The sequence below is a fragment of the Homo sapiens genome, chromosome 10 (genome assembly GCF_000001405.40).
Source record: "Homo sapiens chromosome 10, GRCh38.p14 Primary Assembly".
Classification (NCBI taxonomy): Eukaryota; Metazoa; Chordata; class Mammalia; order Primates; family Hominidae; genus Homo; species Homo sapiens.
In genome coordinates this window covers 43161661-43176675 of record NC_000010.11, presented here as the reverse complement: position 1 = coordinate 43176675, position 15015 = coordinate 43161661, and the positions used below count along the sequence as shown (strand labels likewise).

The 15015-nt window shown below is 39.9% G+C and overlaps 1 protein-coding gene across 10 annotated transcripts in view, besides 1 other annotated feature; it reads right to left on the bottom strand.

Moving 5' to 3' along the window:
- The window catches only part of CSGALNACT2 (chondroitin sulfate N-acetylgalactosaminyltransferase 2), a 46864-nt gene that overhangs the window by 8633 nt on the left and 23216 nt on the right, over positions 1–15015 (bottom strand). For 3 of the 10 annotated variants that reach the window (NM_018590.5, XM_047425439.1, XM_047425438.1), the window contains exons 5-7: positions 12632–12810; positions 9578–9672; positions 644–725 (exon numbers count right to left, since the gene is read on the bottom strand). In NM_018590.5, the coding sequence (NP_061060.3) occupies positions 644–725; positions 9578–9672; positions 12632–12810 (356 nt within the window). Of the gene's footprint in view, positions 1–643; positions 726–4514; positions 4693–9577; positions 9673–12631; positions 12811–14315; positions 14477–15015 lie in introns of those variants that run through there. The other 7 variants (XM_017016388.3, XM_047425441.1, NM_001319654.1 and 4 more) reach the window with 5 other exon arrangements.
- Positions 3642–3811: an enhancer, noted in NCBI's record as "experimental_12290 CRE fragment used in MPRA reporter constructs". NCBI's record gives its function as "activates a minimal promoter by MPRAs in K562 erythroleukemia cells, with activity observed for both the introgressed and non-introgressed 10:43668398 variant alleles {active_cell/tissue: K562}" and the evidence as "EXISTENCE:reporter gene assay evidence [ECO:0000049][PMID:34662402]".

The window sequence follows — 15015 nt, the reverse complement described above, 5'->3', positions numbered from 1 at the left end:
GAGGATCGCTTGAGCCTGGGAGGCAGAGGCTGCAGTGAGCCAAGATTGTGCCACTGCTCTTCAGCCTGGACAACAGAGCATGCAGGATAGTTAGAACAAATTATTCATGGGCCATCTTTAGGCTTAGGGGAATGCATGACTAAGGTGTGATTCCAAGACGCGCTAGAAAGAGCAGGTCTTCTTTCATTTGTATTAAATACTGGGATTTTGTGTAACAGTTCACTAGACAAGTAAAGGAGGTTTCATCTCAAAAAAATGTGAAAGTCCTTGGTCTAGATAACCAAGATTACTCCCAGCTGTAACAACCCATGGGCACAACAGTAAAGTTATAGAGAAAGCTTTTGTAAGACTACTCTAAACACCTGCAACTATGGGTAACAAGTTAAACAGATATTTTTAAAAACAGGTGTTTTGATTTTAAAGGAACAAGTAAATATTATACTTTATTTTTATGACCATTTTTTTCCTATTCAAAACATTAATTATAAACTTATTTTGCCTTTTGTATATCCAGTTTCTCTTTTTAGCTAACCTTAGACACTCATACTTTAGTAGGAAAACACTCAAATCTGAGACCTTTTAGCAAAATACCATTAAGTCTGGAGTAAATAAAGTCCTATCCTTAAATGTAAAGTATACTTACCAATGGTCAGGAAATCTGAACGATACTGACAAGTCATTCCAAAGCCAAAATCTCGCCAAAAGCCAGAATCCTTTTTGTGAACCTTAGTTAAAAAAAAAAAAACAGAAAACAATTTAATTCCATAAGAAGCAGAAGTTTTAATCAACGATGAAACAAATTATTTTCTAATGTATACTTTTTTCCTGTCATTTATGTGACTGATTAAGGATCACATGCACTTATGTTATTAAATCCTTACAAAACAAATAAAAATAGAACTCAAAGCCTGTACAAGGTGCAAGCTGAGGTTACTAATTATCATTGTGGTGCCTGACTTCAAGGGGCTTACATTCTAGGACAACAGTTGCATAAACAAATTGTAACACACAGGATCAACCTTACACAGTAGACTTTATCTGGTGCCTACCCAGTATCCATTCCCCCAACCCCCTTCCTGATTGGTACAGTTTTGTTCTGGTAATTACCTGGCCCTGGGCAGCCCATGAATTCAGGGAAGCTGCTGTCACCAGTAGATTCGGAGTGGGCCATGAGTCTCTATACTAGTGAGACAGTCTCACCCCACTTACCATAGTGGCTCACTTACTTACTGGCTCACTAATAGGTATTTAAAAAAAAATCAGGCCAAGTAGGTAAACCAGGGTGGTTGTTGGGAACTTTGGAAAACAAAGCTCCTTCGTTCTTCTAAGAGACTCACTAGAAAGGACATTTGGTCGTAGGGCAGGGTCAGCAAACGATGGCCTCTGGCTAAATCTGGCCTGCTGCCTGCTTTAGTAAATAATTTTAGTGGAACGTAGTTGTGTTGATCTGTTTACAAATTGTCTATGGGTGCTTTCACAGTGCAGTGGCAGAGTTGAGTAGTTGCAGCAGAACTGTATGGCCTATAAAGATTAAAACATTTCTTATCTGGCTCTCTACAGAAAACATTTGTTGACCTCTAGTGCACGATGCAGCTATGAAGCTTGGAACTGCCAAAGTCCTTTTCTACCATGCGAGAAACCAGCTTTAATATGAGGCTGTCACCACTTAAGTCTAAGTAGAGAAAGAAATATAAAACCAGGGCATTGATGACACTGAGTCCTTGGAATCACTTCTGCTTACAAGTTGAAGCCTGATAAACCTTTTATTTTATTCATACTTTCAACAAGTGTTTAATCTTTTGGATATGGTTCTAGTAACTGAGGCTTAGCAATAAACAGAGGTGACAAAGTCCCTGCCATCAAAGCGCCTTTGTTTGGGTGGGAAAATAGTAAATAAATAAATATACATTTTAGGTGGTGATACATGCTACAAAGAAAAGAGGCAACAGCTATAACTAGGGATGGGAAGCTGCTAGTCTAGTGTGTGCTACTGTGGTATGTACCAAAAGCAAAAGAGTGTATGGATGTGGAATGTGGAAAAGATTTAGGTCAGAGACTTCACAGAAGTCAGCAAGTGATTGAATGGGCAGGAGTGGGGAGTGAAGGAGAAGGATCAACCAAGATGACAGCAGGCTTCCGTCCTGAACAGTGGGTATGTAATGGTGCTATCCCTAAGATGAAGCCCAGGGGAAGGGCCAGCCCAGAGAGGAACAACATGGAGTTGGTTCTGGCCATAATGAATCTGAGTGATCTGTAAGGCACCTACACAGAAATTCCTGCAGATAGCAGGAATATCAAGGTCTGCAGAGGTGACAAATTTTGAGAAGAGTGGGCACAGTCTGAAATTGCTGCTGTACAGAATAGGAGAATCAACAGGAAAACACATAATGAACCAGGCAGCCCTGAGGGCTCAGCTCAGATTGGAGCTGATGGATGAGTTTGGCATTTTTCTTTTCAATTTTTTTTTTTTTGAGCTGAGGGGGAGAACTTCTTCCCCTTCTAGAATGTAAAGCTCCCTGAGGGGAGGACTTGTGGATTCTGTTCACTGCTATATTCCTAGCACCTAGAACAATGCCAGGCACATGACAAGCTTTCAATAAATACGTGTTGAATAAATAAATATATAGAGAGACATAATTTTAGTGGCAAAATGAAGACTAGACTCTATTATTATTATTATTTTGAGACAGAGTCTCACTGTGTTGCCCAGACTGGACGGCAGTGGCACAATCTTGGCTCACTGCAACCTCCAGCTCCCAGGTTCAAGCGATTTCCGTGCCTCAGTCCGCTGAACAGCTGGGATTACAGGTGTGCGCCACCACACCTGGCTAATTTTGGTATTTATAGTAGAGACAGGGTTTCACCATGTTGGCCAGGCTGGTATCGAACTCTTGACCTCTGGTGATCCACCCACCTCGGCATCCCAAAGTGCTCGGATTACACGTGTGAGCCACCACTCCTGTCTCTAATATTCTTATCTCTTTGTTAAAATATAACCCTGATACAAAGTATTAAAAAGCAAAACACCCACTTTGACATCTCTACACCATGCCAATTCTGATTATATAAGTACTATAACTTTGTAACTTAGTTTCTCTAAAAATTCTTCAAATATTATCAGACTTGGAAAAAGGAATCATTGGTTTGATTTTTAAAGCAACACATTTTCACAAAGGAAAGTAGAAGGAAACTCAAATTGTCCATAATCCTTATTGTTAATATTTTCTTGCACTGTTTTATCTGGCCTCCTAAGCATGTGGGAGATGCAGTTATCCACACATAACCTATATACCCAAGCCTTGGCCTCTCACAGAATGCCAGATCCCTGTAGCCAACTAGCAATTTGGCACCTCCCCTTGGATGTCTGATAAACAACACATGGCTACTATGGCTCCAGTTGAATCCCAATCTCTGCTCTCCCATTCCTTTCCTTTGCTAATTTCCTACATCTAATCCAACAGCAAGCTCTGTCAGCCCTATCTCTGAATCATATCCAAACCTTTCTCCGTAATTATAATACACTGTCACCCAAGCCACAATCATCTCCCCTTGTCTACTGTGAAAGCCTAACTGGCTGCTGCCAGCCAGAGCCACACACAATCCATTCTCCCTCCAAAGGCTTTCCAACATACTTAGCATAAAATCCCAATGCCTTCCAGAGGCTGAACAAGCTCTACATGCCCTGGCCCAGCTATGTGCCCCTCACCGGCTGTGCTCCAAACACCCTAGGAAACCCAGTAGCTGTTCTTTCTGCCTGAAACCACTATCCCCCAATCACAGCCTAGCTGGTTCTTTCCTGTTCTTTGGACAGCTCTGCTCAGCTTCATCTCAGAAACACCTTTCTGACCAAACAAGCCACAGAAACCACGGAGTCACTCTTTGCAACTCAGTCTGTTTTAATGATCCACGTGGCATGCATTATCTGATTTTACTTTCTGTCACCTCCTAATAAATAAAGATCCTCACGAGCAACAGCCATATCTGTTAGGGTCTAAGTGTCAGGGTGCCAGTGGTGGATAGTGCGTGGCATCAAAGGGACCCTCAATATTTGATGAATTAATATAACAGAGGCAGTGTGCACAGTGGACAGGAGTGGAGGCTGCGGAGCCACATCACCCAGCCTCCTGGGCCTACTCAGGCCAGTGTGTACTTGGACAGGCACTCGACTGCAGCACAGCTGTGAAAAATGGGGCAGTAATACTACATACCTCAGAGGTTGTTAGGAGGATTAAATGAATTAATGTGTAGGCAAAACAGAACAAGTACCCTGCACATAGTAAGGGGTTCATAAAAATATTAGCTATTATCATCATTTAAATGTTACCTAAAATATAGATACGCTATTTCCCGCTTTTTAGCTTTACATTTTCCTCTTCATTTACACGGCTGTATTTACATTTTTCACATTTTCCTTGATATGCAATATTCACCAGAGAATGTACCATAATTCAATTTATCCTTTTATTATTAGAGTTTTGCTTGCTTTTAATGTTATCAATTTATGCATATTACCATCATGTAGCTCGATTACTTCCCCAGGAAAGACTGTTGGGGGTGGAAATTACTGGATCAGAGGGATGAATCTGTTTAGAACTCGACTCAGAGAACTGGCCTGAATCCCCAACAGAAGCGACGGAGGAGCTCCCATCCCCCAGTCTTGCTCACATGGCTTTGCTTTTTAAAAGCAGTGACCTAACAGCAGAAACAAAGCATTATACTGCTGTTCTAAATTATTCCTAGTAAGGCTGACTATTTAAATATGTGAATTATCAACTGTCTTACCCATTTTTTTCCTTCTTATTTACTTCTAATATAGCTTTAAACATCAAGGAAAACAAGTTTTTGTCTTTTAAGTGAGGAGACTGAAGCTTAGAAAAGTTAAGCAACTTGCAAAGGTTACAAGTGGTGAAACTAGAACTTGAAGTGCTTAAACTTAAGTTGCTATGCAACACCTAGAATGAATCAGCATTCAAATCATTCTTCCCCTACAACCCTCCAAACCAGGCAAGAATATTAGCATGCTTTGGCCGGGTGCGGTGGCTCATGCCTATAATCCCAACACTTTGGGAGGCTGAGGCCAGCAGATCACAAGGTCAGGAGTTCGAGACCAGTCTGGCCAACATGGTGAAACCCCATCTCTACTAAAAATACAAAAATTAGCTGGGCGTGGTGGTGTGTGCCTGTAATCCCAGCTACTTGGGAGGCTGAGGCAGGAGAATCGCTTGAAACGGGAAGGTGGAGTTTCCAGTGAGCCAAGATCATGCCACTGCACTCCAGGCTGGGCAACAAGAGCGAAACTCCATCTCAAAAAAAAAAAAAAAGAGTATTAGCATGCTTTTACATTCCCTTCACGCTTCTATGTTGACTTTATTTGCCTCTTTTTGTTTTAATTAATTTTAATATACAACCTTTTATTTTGGAATAATTTTAGATTTACAAAGAAGTTGCAAAACAGTAAAGAGAGTTCCTGTATACCCCTCATCCAGTTTTAGCTTCCCCTAATGTTATCATCTTACATTGTTGTGGTACATTTGTCAAAACTAAGGAACCATCATTGCTATATTACTATTTAACTCAACTCCAGATTTCATTTGGATTTCACCAGCTTTCCCTTTACTGTCTTTTTTTTCTATTCTAGGACCTAGTCCAGGGCACCACATTGCATTTGGTTGTCATGTCTCCTTAGTCTCCTCTTGGCTATGATGGTTTCTCAGTCTTGTTTTTGGTGACCCTGACAGTTTTGAGGAAGAATGGTCAGGTATTTTGTACAATGCTCCTCAATGTGGGCTTGCTGCAGCTTTCCCTGTGACTTTCCTGGGGAAGTTATCTACGTTTTTGGAAGAGGACTGTGAGCTAAAGTGTCCTTCTCATTATGTCATGTCATGGGTACATGGTATCCCTTGGTTAAGGTGTCTGCTGGGTTTCTCCCGTGAAAAGTTTGTTTTTTCTTTCCATACTATGTTCTTTGAAAGTGAGTCCCCTAGTTCCACCTACTGGAAGAGGGAGTATCTACATAAGTTATTTGGAATTCTGTAAGGAAGACTTAACTTTTCTTTCCTATCTAGTCTAGTCACTCAATATTTATCTGCTCATTCACTCACTCATTTGTATCAGTATAGACTCATGGCTATTTACTTGATGCTTTGGGTTATAATCCAGGTTTAAGTTATTTATTTCATTGCTCAGGTTGTTCCAGCTTGGGCACTGGGAGCTCTTTCTGTTGGCTCCTGTGCCCCTTCGACATATTCCCCCTATCTTTTTATTGAGTGCTTTCTTACTTTCTGGCACTGTAAGATGCTCCAGGGTCTTCTTGTATATTTTTTGCCCCTGCCCTGGAATCAACCATTTCTCCGTGGACCTCTGGCTCGTTTGATTGGAGAATAGTATTAGAAACTAAGATTTGGAAGCTGAGTGTACTTGTTACTGTTAGGGTGTCACTGGTTCTAGGCCCTCTCAGCTGACAGCTAGGTAATACACATAAGTATACCATGTACATAACCCGCTGACATCTTAATCCCAAATTGGTATTAATTGCCTTTTTATTATGTCAACATAACTATTTACACTATTACATCAACAAATGTTTAGACTTAATTTTTTTGGTTGTTCACCACTATTTACTCTCAGGTCCTCCTCTCTCAATGTATACATTTATCATTTTGCTGGACTCGATTACAAAGGTCTGTTGAGAAATAAATTCTGAGTCCTTGAAAGCTCAAAAATGTCTATTTTGTCCTAAAATAGTAGGTTGAATATGAATTCTAGAATCAAAGTTACTTTTCTTCAGAATTTTCATAGTATTGCTTTATTGTTTTCTAACACCAGTGTTTTCAAAAAGAAGACGAATGCCAATCTGATTGTCACTCCTTTGTGAACAAACTGGGTTTTGCTATTTTTAGTGTCTCTGGAAGCTATTAGAATTGTCCTTTTACTGTTGTTCTCCAAACACCAGAAGATTTGTTTCTGCTTAGCTCTGGAAACTTTCTTCCATTTCCTCCACTCAATATTCTCTCTTTTCTGAACTCCTATTAATAATTTGGGAGCTTCTGGCTTGATCTTCCTTGTCTTAATTTTTCTCTCATGTTATCTCGTGAACTTTACGTGTCCAGTTGGGTTGTCTTCCAGTTTACAAATTTGATTCAACTGTAACCATTCTGCTATTCAGACCATTTACTGATTTTAAAAATATTTTCACAATTTCCAAGTTCTGATTTTTTAAAGCAACAAATCCTGTTTTATGAATTTAACATTTTCTCTAATCTCCTCAAAGATATATTTTAAAATTACTTTCTATCTGTATTCATATACTCATGTGTTAATTTTTCTGTGTATTAACACTTGGTGCCTCTTTCATAGTATTGTTTTTCCTCAAATGTTTGGTTAGTCTTGGTTAATTGCTACTCACTTTTGTTTCAAGTATTGTTCAGAAGTCCATGGCTGTTAGCTTTGATTACAATGGCCTATCTCCAGTCACAGTCAAGGAGATTAGAACAGGGTCTCAGGGGGAATGCGCTAACAGTAGTTCACTTTTGTAGTCTAGGGGCTCCCTAGCCACCCCGACCAGCCTCTCCAGCTCCAGGGACCACATGCACTGCCTTAGACTGAGGGTCAATCCCTGTGATGCCTGCTTCTCAGCACACCTAGAGAAGCATGTTTATTCCAGGCTCCCTCCATTCTGTCTGCTATGAGCTCAGAGGATGCAAAGCAGCCCCATCTTCACTCACTGTTCTCTTGAACACATTCTAGTCTGTTCTCTCCTCCAGAAATCTTACGCTAACTGCTATCGTCTTACAGAAAGTTCTCAAGACTTACGGCTGCTAACACCTTCTCTCATTTTCCAGTACTAATGTACCCTTTTCTTCAGAATAATTCACCGTCAGATATGGCAGACGTGGGTGCTCAGTTTGCCATTTTGAACCTATTTGTATTTATATTCATAATACTGGCCTATAGATAAGGTAGAGGCGTGTGTGTGTGTGTGTGTGTGTGTGTGTGTGTGTGTCTGTGTGTACTATGCCAAGTGTTGATATGAAGATAATGGTGGCCTCATAAAATATGTTAAGTACATCATATGGTGCTAATATTACCTGCTCTTTGAGAGTCTGGAAAAGCTTATAAATTAAAACATTGTATTTATATACCTACAGGGTAACTTTTTGATAACTGTTTTTTAAATGGCTCTTAATTTCTTCAGAGCTTCCACCTTTTTTTTGTTTTGTTTTTTTGAGATGGAGTCTCACTCTGTCACCCAGGCTGGAGTGCAGTGGCGTGATATTGGCTCATTGCAACCTCCGCCTCCCAGGTTCAAGTGATTCTTTTGCCTCAGCCTCCTGAGTAGGTGGGACTACAGGCTCGTGCCACCACGCCTGGCTAATTTTTTTATTTTTAATACAGACGGGGTTTCACCATATTGGCCATGCTGGTCTCGAACTCCTGACCTTGTGATCCACCCGTCTTGACCTCCCAAAGTGCTGGGATTACAGGCGTGAGCCACCATGCCCGGCCCACTTGCACCTCTTTTATTCATAAAATACTAACATGAACTTAGCCTGTGTTCATATTTTATAAATTCTCAAATCTTTCATTTATTTATAATTTAGAAAACTTACCCTATAAAATTGATTTATCTCAATGTTTTCATATTCTAATTTCCAATGTTTTCCTTTTTACCTGAAATCTGTCTACTTTATGATTAAATTTTTTGTACATAAACATAAGCTTCTATATTTCTCAATCTATTTTTGTTTTATTAACTTCTGCCTTTATTACTTTCCTTGAAGTTATTTTTCATTTTTTTAAACATCTTAAAGTGACTTCTTAATCATTTCTACTTTTTCTTAGTATTAATAATAAAAGATTATGTTAAAAGCAATTTGGTATTCTCGACTCGATTCTGAAACAGAAAAAGGACATTAGTAGAAAAACTGGTGTAATCCTAGTGTACTTAGCAGTAACTTACCAATATTAATTTCTTCACTTTGACAAATGTACCATGGTTACATAAGATGTTAGCATTAGAGGAAACTGGGTGAAGTATGGAACTCTTTGTACTATCTTTGCAACTTCTCTAAATCTAAATTATTATAAAATAATGTTTATTTAAAAATTTTAAAAAACTTACATAAAATTAGCTTTGGCAATAACTGTAAGTTTTGATATATGGCATTTATATTCTATGACTTTCCAGGTAATTTACCAGAGTATACTATTCCCTCTTATTTAGCAGAGTAGATTTAATTTCTAGTTAGTAGGGTTTTTAAAATCAAATTTTTAGTATTAGTAAAAATAAGCTGGTAGAAATGACTGTACAATTTCCACATTCTGGGACATGAGGTTTTCCTTTATGACCTAAACTCTGCTCCCCCTACACTTAATTCTGAAGCAATAAATGTGAAAAGCATCTTATTGGGGGTATAAAGAGGAACTATGGAAATGTGCTTACAATAACTATAGTTTTTCTTTAACACTTTGCTCATGGAAATACAGTTTTTTATTGAAACTTTGTTTTCTACTTACACAACAAACATCTAGAAAAGATCTTTAGAGTCTTTCATAACTGAAAATGTGAAAGTCTCACCAGCTGCTGCTCCACAGGTGGTGGCACTTCCTGGTTGGCATAAACAATGGCAGGATTGTAAAGACTGAACACCACAGGGTAAAACACCTTCTTACCTACAAATTAAAATATAGGTTTGTAACATAAAAAGAAGTTATGAAGAACTGTTCTTTATTGCAATATCTATTAAGTTTTATCAAAGTCTTATTATACATGATTTTATCTATTTTTTAATATTCAGGCTACAGAACATCATGTTAATTTGATGAATATGATGATTTTGTAACATATCAGTAGGTTAACTATAACCTTGCAAAAGAACAGAGGAAAAAACAAACTAAAGGGTGCTTCACGTTTATTCCCTTTGACTTTGGGGAGATGTGTATTCATTACGTGAGTCATTTATTACTCATTGTTTCATCTAATCAGTAGTAATAAACGTAGATTAACCTCTGATAATCACTATGAAACTTAGAAACGTCTGTTAAATCCACCTGTCAAAAATGAATCATTAGAAAGAGTAAATTCAAAGAATACTGTACAATGAATAGATATGCAGAGAATAATGAAAATATAGAATAAATCTGAACCAAAATCTGGAAAAGTCGGGAAGACAAGGGTTAAAATTACTTGATATAATAGCCCTTGGAGAAGACCTTGTCATCAGCATTCAAACTGACTGATCTAAAAGGACCATAAAGGCTAACTAGCCCATCTTCCCTCAGGAGACGCAACCCTTGCTATGGCTGGCTTCAATCAGATATGATCACATGAAGTGTTCAGTGATTGTCAGGAAGTGTGGGAGTAACATGGCAACCTTTTTATTACAAGATCCCTAGCAGATGCTCATTCTACCTTTGTTCAAATACATTTAGGGATGGGGAGTTCAATTTTCCAGAGGCAAATCTATTTCTGGATATAAAATATTTCTTTTAAACTAAGCAAATACGTCTCCTTCAACTTTCACATTTTGCATTTCATGCTGTAAAATAAACCTAACCTTCATTTATTCATTAGGTTCTCAAAGAGTTCCTGAAAACTATCTCTAACCTAATTAATAAGAAGGCAATCATTTGCATATGAATAGTTCTACATTAAAAAAACCCCATTTGCTATTAGATTCTTTAAAACATTTTTATTTTTATTTTTTAAGACGGAGTCTTGCTCTGTCACCCAGGCTGGCGATCTCAGCTCATTGCAACCTCCGTCTCCCAGGTTCAAGCAATTCTTCTGCCTCAGCCTCGCAAGTAGCTGGGATTACAGGAACAAGCCACCACGCCTGGCTAATTTTTAGTAGAGATGGGGTTTCACCATGTTGGCCAGGCTGGTATCGAACTCCCGACTGAGGTGATCCGCCTGCCTCGGCCTCCCAAAGTGCTGGGATTACAGGCATGAACCACCACGCCCAGCCTCTTTAATACTTTTAATTCTTTTAAATGAGCTAAAAAGCATTCAGCCACCATGCCTGGCCAAAAATTTTATTTTTAAAGACTAGGACTCACTATGTTGCCCAGGCTGGTCTTGAACTCCTGCACTCAAGTGCTCCTCCTGTCTCAGACTCCCAAGGTGCTGGGATTAAGGTGTGAGCTACTGTGCTCAGCAGCACCCCCCCACCCCAATGTTTTTCTAATTGACTAATAAAAATGGTGTACAACATTATGTTTTGCTACATTCATACACTACGAAATGACTAAATCAAGCTAATAAACATATATCATCACCTCACATAATTAACCTTTTTTTTTTTTGGTGGTAAGAACATTTTTTAATGCTACTACTGGCTTAGCAATTTGTAAGTATACAATACATTGTTATTAACTATAGTCACCATGTTTGTATAACAGATTTCCTCAACTTACTCATCCTGTTGAGATTCTTTAATACTTTTTTTTTTTGAGACAGAATGTCGCCCTGTCGCCCAGGCTGCAGTGCAGTGGCGCAATCTCAGCTCACTGCAAGCTCCGCCTCCTGGGCTCACGCCATTCTCCTGCCTCAGTCTCCTGAGGAGCTAGGACTACAGGCACCCACCACCACGACCGGATAATTTTTTTTGTATTTTTAGTAGAGACGGGGTTTCACTGTGTTAGCCAGGATGGTCTCCATCTCTTGACCTCGTGATCCGCCCGCCTCGGCCTCCCAAAGTGCTGGGATTACAGGCATGAGCCACCACCCCCAGCCTCTTTAATACTTTTAATTCTTTTAAATGAACTAAAAAGCATTTAAAATTTGATTTCAAAAAATGTCATCTTCTCATTAATTTTTTTTTTTTTTTTTGAGATGGAGTCTCACTCTGTCACCAGGCTGGAGTGCAGTGGCATGATCTTGGCTTACTGCAACCTTTGCCTCCCAGGTTCAAGCAATTCTTCTGCCTCAGCCACCCGAGTAGCTAGGACTACAGGCGTACGCCACCATGCCCAGCTAATTTTTGTATTTTTAGTAGAGACGGGATTTCACCATGTTGGCCAGGATGGTCTCAATCTCTTGACCTCATGATCCACCCGCCTAAGCCTCCCGAAGTACTGAGATTATAGGCGTGAGCCCCTGCACCTGGCTATCTCATTAATTTTCAAAAAATATCTACAACTTAAAGCAAAGTATAGTAAATCATCCCAAAATGCACAGTCTGGAGACCAAGCACTATCTGCATCTAGACTTCCATGTGAGTGTGTGTGCACACATGCATGGGGGTATTTTTGCATGTGTGGACGCTATATGCCCAAAGCTGAGTGCTTCAGACTCTCACACACATCTCCATACCATCTGCTTAGCTCTTTTTCTGACCTGCACTGCTCCCACCTCATCAATTTGTAGATACCCTGTTCCTCTGCATTTCCATATTTGGCTTCAAATGTAGTCACTGGAAGTTGGACCCAAGAGAACAAAGGATATGAATTTCAAAGGGTCAAATTTTCAATTTCCTATTTAGTATTCCAGTTAAATTATGCCTAATATAACTTAAAAAAATACTGGGGTTTAACTAAAACTTCTCCCTCAAAATCACTTGATTCAAACTATAGGACATGCTGACAACGTTCTAAATTCTATAGTCAGCTCATCTACCAACATTTTACGCACCTGGCTCAGCATTTAACCGGCAGCTGTTAAGGAATTCGGCTGAGAAATAGATATCAACATCACAGAAAAACATCAAGACCTCTCCCTTGTCCCAAGCTCGGGCACCCACATTTAGTCCTCGTCCACGATTAAATTCTTCATTCAATGAGACCAAGGTGTAATTGTGAAAATTAGACTCACTATGAGGAAAGCACACACAACAAATGATAAGTCCCACTTAAAGTTACCAATTTTCTTCCTTCAACACAGCTTACAAAATATGTTTTACACTTCAAATATTTGATTATATTGGTTCTACATTCACAAAGGGAAAGAAAATCCCAGCTTCATGTGTATGATTATCATCAGGGAGAGATATTCACCAAATGCCCAATTTGAGGCACATGTTGGTGGTATGAGGCTCCAAAAGTGTTAAAGTGGCCACTGACCTTTGGAATCTTAAACACCTTTTGGGGAGTTGAAAAATACACAAATGGAAAAATAGCTGTAATGTCTGTTAATAATGCATTCTAAATGGATAACACACACAAAGATCACTCTCCTCTTGCATCCGTTAGGTCTTTGCACACATGTCGCCTTATCAGAGGGATCCTCCCTAATACTACTTGAGAAGCAGCTGCCACCTCCCACTCCTTCATCTCCATCCTCTTCCTCAGCTGTTTTCCTTCATATTGCTAGACATATTTGTTCCAGTGTCTCTCCCACTCTGTGGGAGCAGGGATTTTGTTTTGTTCATTACTATGGATGCAGTGTCCCCTGATAGAGTAGGAGTTCAATAAATATTTGCTGAATGAATGAATGAACAGCAGTTCTGAAAAATACATCGCTCATGTCTGGAGTAGTTAGAGAAGATGTTAGAAGTGGAACGTGAGTTATGCCTTGGTTAAAATGTTGAATTCAGTGGTGAGTGTAAAGGTCATTCAAAATAATTATTCTCAAAGGCAAAGAGGTAAGAATGTAGAAAGCATTTTAGAGAAAAGGGATCAGACAAATCAGATTGGTAGAAAAGGACCCTAAAATGGGAACAGTGAGATAAGGGTCAACGGAATCTTAAAATGGGAACAATGAGAGAAGGGTCAGAGTGAAGAGTACCTCCCATGCAAGGTTAAAGAAATTGGTCAGTATCCTAAAGGCAAAGAGAATCAGCAGGACTTTTCTGCTAGGGCAGTGGTTCTCACAGTGAGGCCCCCAAACCCACAGCATCAGCTTCCTGTGTTAACATGTTAGAGAAGCAAACTCTCAGACTACAGCCAGACCCACTGAATCAGATGCTAGGGCTGGAGAGAAGCCTCTACATTTTCACAAGTCCTCCTGGTGACTCTGGCACTGAAGCTGGAGAATCACTCACTGCACTAGGGTGCAGCCTAATCAAAAAAGTAACATTTTAGGAGGATTACACTTACAACAGTACAGAATGGGTAATGGAGAGATGGAACAAAGGCTCAAATAGTGCATGGAGTGGACTCCAAGTGCTCTGAATGCCTAGGACTCTTCTCCCCGTCTTAAGGAATATAAATCTCTCCTCTGTTGGGGGAAAACTGCCCATTGCCACCCCACATACTCAGCATCAAGTGGAGGCACTGATCACAGAATACCCCTCACTCTCTGCCCACCCCAACCACAGTAATTTCCTAGGGGTGGAGACCAGGCTTAAGCTGGGCCAGTCCCAATACCCCCACCCAACCTGGCCATAGTGATTGGCTCAAGAGTGGGCAAAATGTCCTTCCCTGGGATTTTCTCAACTGGAGCTGGGAGAAAGCTCTTTCCTCTCTGATGGCAAAGCTGAGAAGATGTGAGCCCAGAGCCGCCAACAGTCATATCCCTCACCATGTGGAAGAAGCCAATCTGCAACAGGAGAATGAAGTCAACATGCAGAGAAAAACAGACAAGGAGACGAGAATTTTGATGGTATTCAAGTCTCTGGTTCCAATCCCTGAGAAACAAGAGTTGTTTTGATTTTCTTCCCCAAATTTGGTTGTAACAATCCCTTTATTTCTGGGAGGTATCCGAGATTCTTCAATACTGCTCCTATTTTCCTCAAGCAAGCTCAAGGTAGGTTTACACCATTTGCCACAGAAGTGTCTTGACAATACTTCAGTATTACCAGTGTGAGCTTGTGGCACTTAGTAGGTGATCTAAAAACACTAAGGAGGGACAGGAAGGGAAGAAATGGAGGGAGGGGGAACCAGGGTTAGGGTGGTGGCAGTAGCAAGGAAGAGATAGAGAAGAGGTCCTGTGAATTAAGTAGGAACTAACTAATTAGAGGTAACTGGAGGCAAAGAATAAGTAAAAGACTGTGGCTCTCAGAAGTCATGCCCAGATGGTGAAAATGGTTTTACTCTGAACTGAAAGAGGGCCATCAGGAGGAGGAGCTGGTGTAGGGA